Here is a 4,079-nt window from a genome sequence, read left to right as displayed (position 1 = left end):
GTACACTGTTGGTGGGAATGTAATTTACTACAGCCCCTATGGAGAACAGTATGGGGTTCCTCAAAATCCTAAAAATAGAACTAGTATATGATCCAAGTATTCCACTGCTGGGGAAAGAGAGGGAGGGGGAGAGAGAGGAGAGAGAGAGAGAGAGAGAGAGAGATGGATAGATAGATAAATAAATTTATCTGAAGATCAAAGAGATATATCTGCATACTCATGTGTATTGCAGCACAAGTCACAATAGCCAAAATATGGATTTAGCCTAAGTGCCCATTGATGGATGAATGGATTAGGCAAATGTGGCATACGTACACAATGGAATATTATCCAGGCATGAAAAGAATGACTGGATATTATGTTAAATGAAATAAGCCAGGCACAGAAAAACAAACATTGCATGTTTTCACTCATATATGGGAGCTAAAAAAGTGGTTCTCATGAAGATAGCGACTATAGTGATGGTTACCAGAGGCCAGAAGGGGAAGCAGGGGATGAAGGGGAAATAAAAGAATATAAATGTATTTATTACCACTGAACTGCACGGTTACAGGTGTAAAGCAGATACATTACATGTGTATATTTTACCTCAATAAAAATATATTTTAAAAATAAAATCACATTCTTCTCACCACGTCCTGCTGAGTTATTGTTGGAATAATGAATTACTACCACAGATAAGTCAGGTACCTAAGTAAGTAGTAAAATAGAGACAGCAAGAATAGTTCAGTGGAATGTAGAACATAGGGAATCTGGTCAGGTCAGATAAAATTTTGCTGGTGTTGAGTTAATACGTAAGTTCTACTTAACTGGGCTTTCCCATGAAACACATTTCATAGAAACAGCTAACAATCATTGCAATACCAAGTGAACCTGATCCTGAAAATCATATCCTTTGCAAGTCTCAATTATTGATTTTAGTTGGGATAAGAACTTAGAAGGATAGGTGCTGAGTGTTACCCAGGAAAAAAAGGTACAAAGGATAACAGGAGATAATTTGAATATCTATGTGATGTCTGGAAAAAGCAAAATCCTTCCTAATCATTCTACTACGTTTTGTTGGAATAATGAATTACCACAGACATCTGGTGGTAAACATGTAATTAGCAACCTAAAGATAGCTAGAATTAGCCAGACCAGGTAATTGATCCCAGGAAGCTGAAGATAACTGGCCTATGCCAGGGAGTTCAATAACCATTTTCCTCAATGCAAAATTCCAACCTCATGTTAGAAGTATTACCTAATACAGTAGCTTTCAACTTTATCCAAGTAAGTAATTAACTAGAGATAACTACATGAAGCCAGTACCTGGAATAAACAAATTCTTCTCAGTACTAGTTGAATAAACAACTAGCAATTACTAGGAAACTGGTTGAACATAGAAAGTTTAGTAACCACTCCAGTCAATTCTGTGTTCTTACTTTTTTTGGATTGTTGACTAGGTACTACGGATATGGTAACTAGAGTTACCTGAGTAAGAGTTAAATACAGAATCCTCCCTAAAATGGGAAAAACTGGTTGAAGACAGAAGTATAATATTGCATTCTCCTCAATATTTCTCATTTCTTGCTGGAATAATAAGGTGGTTCTGTCAATGGGCAGCAGTACCTAGGTTATTACAAAGTAAGAAATAAGAAGAGATGACTAGAATAAATATTTGATACCAGAATGGTGAAAAAAAAACCATTCTTTTCAAATAGAAACTCTAATTTCCTGTGTAATTAGTGAGTTACAATTAGTACTGGAGATATCTGTATGAGATGTGGACTTCATTTCAGGGGTGGGGTACATACTCAACAGATGAGCTGCTGGGTCGTATGGTAGATCTATTTTGATTTTCCAAGGAACAATTATACTATTTTTTATAACGGCTGTGCCAATTACACGTCTGTCAACAGCATGTAACAGTGAGGTGATAGTTCATTGTGGTTATCATTTGCATTCTCTGATTATTAACGATGTTGAGCACATTTTCATATACCTGTTGGCCAGTTGTGTGTTTTCTTTCTAGAAATGCCTATTCAAGTCCTTTGCCTATTTGTTAACCATACTATTTATTTGCTATTGAGCTATGTGAGTTCTTTATATACTTTGGATATTAACTCATTATTAGATATATGGTTCGCAAATAGCTTCTCCCAAACCATAGCGTGCCTTTTCATTGTGTTGATTGTTGGCTGTGCAGAAACTTTTAGTTTCCAGGATGCTCACTTGCCCTATACATTTCAGCTGCCTAGACCCCCACATTGTGTGAATGTGTGAGCCAATTGTTTAGAATAAACTGTATCTCATATATAATATTATTCATAAATAAATACTACATGGTAGTAAATACATATTTATGATATATAATATTACACACACACACACACACACACACACACACACACACACACACACACAGAGTATCCTGTTTGGTTTAGTTTCTCCTTCTCTGAGGAACCCAGCCCGATACAGATACCCAGCTGAGCTAGTGTGTTTGCTAATCTTGACCTCTGGAAGCCAGTGCTTTAAACCATGAGAATGAAAAATTGTGAGGCACTATGTGGATGCTGGGAGAAGCATGTGAGATGGAAAAGTTGTTCCATGGCAGCCAAGAAGTGAATGATCCTCAAGGTGTAGCAGAGGAATTTGTAGGAGAGAGGGATGACTGACGTCTTCGTACAGCCCTCCATCCATCCCAGTTAGCATGGAGGGATTTTAGGTAGGACATACAGAAACTGGGTAATGATGGTAGTTGTGGAGGAACAGAATGTACCACTGAATGGGGGTTCCGGGGGAAACATGTGGGGGAAATATCCTCCCTTGCCACATGATCTGCCAAAACTGAACATGGGGAGTTTAGGAGGGGCGACATGTCAGTTTGGGAACTATCTTTAGGGGTGCTAACCCAAATCTCCCTTTCTCCAACTAGAGCACCCTGCCTTCCTCATTAGATGTCACCGCCCCCCCCCCCCGCCCCCGACTTCATCCGCCATGTCCTGATGGTGCTTTATGACGTATAAGGCCTTCCTTCCCACCCAGGGCTACCATTGGCTGGGTAGTGGAGTGTTGACCAATCACAGCTCAGGGGCGTGATCGTCTCGTCCTGGGATCGCGAGAGGGGTATACACAGGGAGGCCAGGCAGCCTGGAGTTAGTCGACCGTTGCGAGACGTTGAGCTGCGGCAGATGAGTCCAAAGCCGAGAGCCTCGGGACCTCCGGCCAAGGCCAAGGAGACAGGAAAGAGGAAGTCCTCCTCTCAGCCGAGCCCCAGTGGCCCGAAGAAGAAGGTGAGTGACCCTCCCAAGCTCCTCCTCGTCTTCCCCTCGCCTCTTTCCTCACAAGAAGCCTCTCCTGTCCTCACTTGGCACAACCCCCCAACCCGGCCCCCACCGCTTCTGAGGACACGTCCCTGTTCCCAGCCTCCTCCATCCTCGTCCCTAAACCAGAGCCCTTCTGTGATCTCCCTGTTGTCCTTCCAGACTACCAAGGTGGCCGAGAAGGGAGAAGCAGTTCGTGGAGGGAGACGCGGGAAGAAAGGGGCTGCGACAAAGATGGCGGCCGTGACGGCACCTGAGGCGGAGAGCGGGCCAGCGGCACCCGGCCCCAGCGACCAGCCCAGCCAGGAGCTCCCTCAGCACGAGCTGCCGCCGGAGGAGCCAGTGAGCGAGGGGACCCAGCACGACCCCCTGAGTCAGGAGAGCGAGCTGGAGGAACCACTGAGTAAGGGGCGCCCATCTACTCCCCTATCTCCCTGAGCAGCAACTAAGTTTAGGCCCAGCTGCCAGACCTCAGAGATCTCACCAGCAGGGTGCTTCCCATGTTGATGACAATAAAATGAATGTGTTGCAAACCGATCTGAGTGACTCCGTGTTCTCTGATGGTGAGGAGGGAGGGAGGGGGGGGTAAGAGGTGTGTGGGGAGGGAGGGAGGAAGAGGTGGTGTGTGGGGAGGGAGGGAGGCAGAGGTGGTGGGTGGGGAGGGAGGAAGGAAGAGGTGGTGTGTGGGGAGGGAGGGAGGAAGAGGTGGTGTGTGGGGAGGGAGGGAAGAAGTGTGTCAGGAGGGAGGCAGGCGGGAAGAGGTGGTGTGTAGGGAGG

At 44.8% G+C, this 4,079-nt stretch overlaps 1 protein-coding gene across 1 annotated transcript; it reads left to right on the top strand.

The window, feature by feature from the left end:
* Window positions 3,138-3,839, top strand: VCY (variable charge Y-linked). The gene is made up of 2 exons (NM_004679.4): window positions 3,138-3,272; window positions 3,465-3,839. The coding sequence occupies exons 1-2, from the start codon at window positions 3,171-3,173 to the stop codon at window positions 3,738-3,740; spliced, it is 378 nt and encodes a 125-aa protein (NP_004670.1). The 5' UTR covers window positions 3,138-3,170; the 3' UTR covers window positions 3,741-3,839.

The sequence above is a fragment of the Homo sapiens genome, chromosome Y (genome assembly GCF_000001405.40).
Source record: "Homo sapiens chromosome Y, GRCh38.p14 Primary Assembly".
Classification (NCBI taxonomy): Eukaryota; Metazoa; Chordata; class Mammalia; order Primates; family Hominidae; genus Homo; species Homo sapiens.
Note: the sequence above shows the minus strand (reverse complement) of the source record. Positions and strands in the feature narration are given on the sequence as shown.

Coding starts and splice junctions, on each gene's coding strand:
- VCY (NM_004679.4), top strand. CDS start 3,171: ATGAGTCCAAAGCCGAGAGCCTCGGGACCTCCGGCCAAGGCCAAGGAG. Junction 3,273..3,464: donor CCAGTGGCCCGAAGAAGAAG/GTGAGTGACCCT, acceptor TTGTCCTTCCAG/ACTACCAAGGTGGCCGAGAA.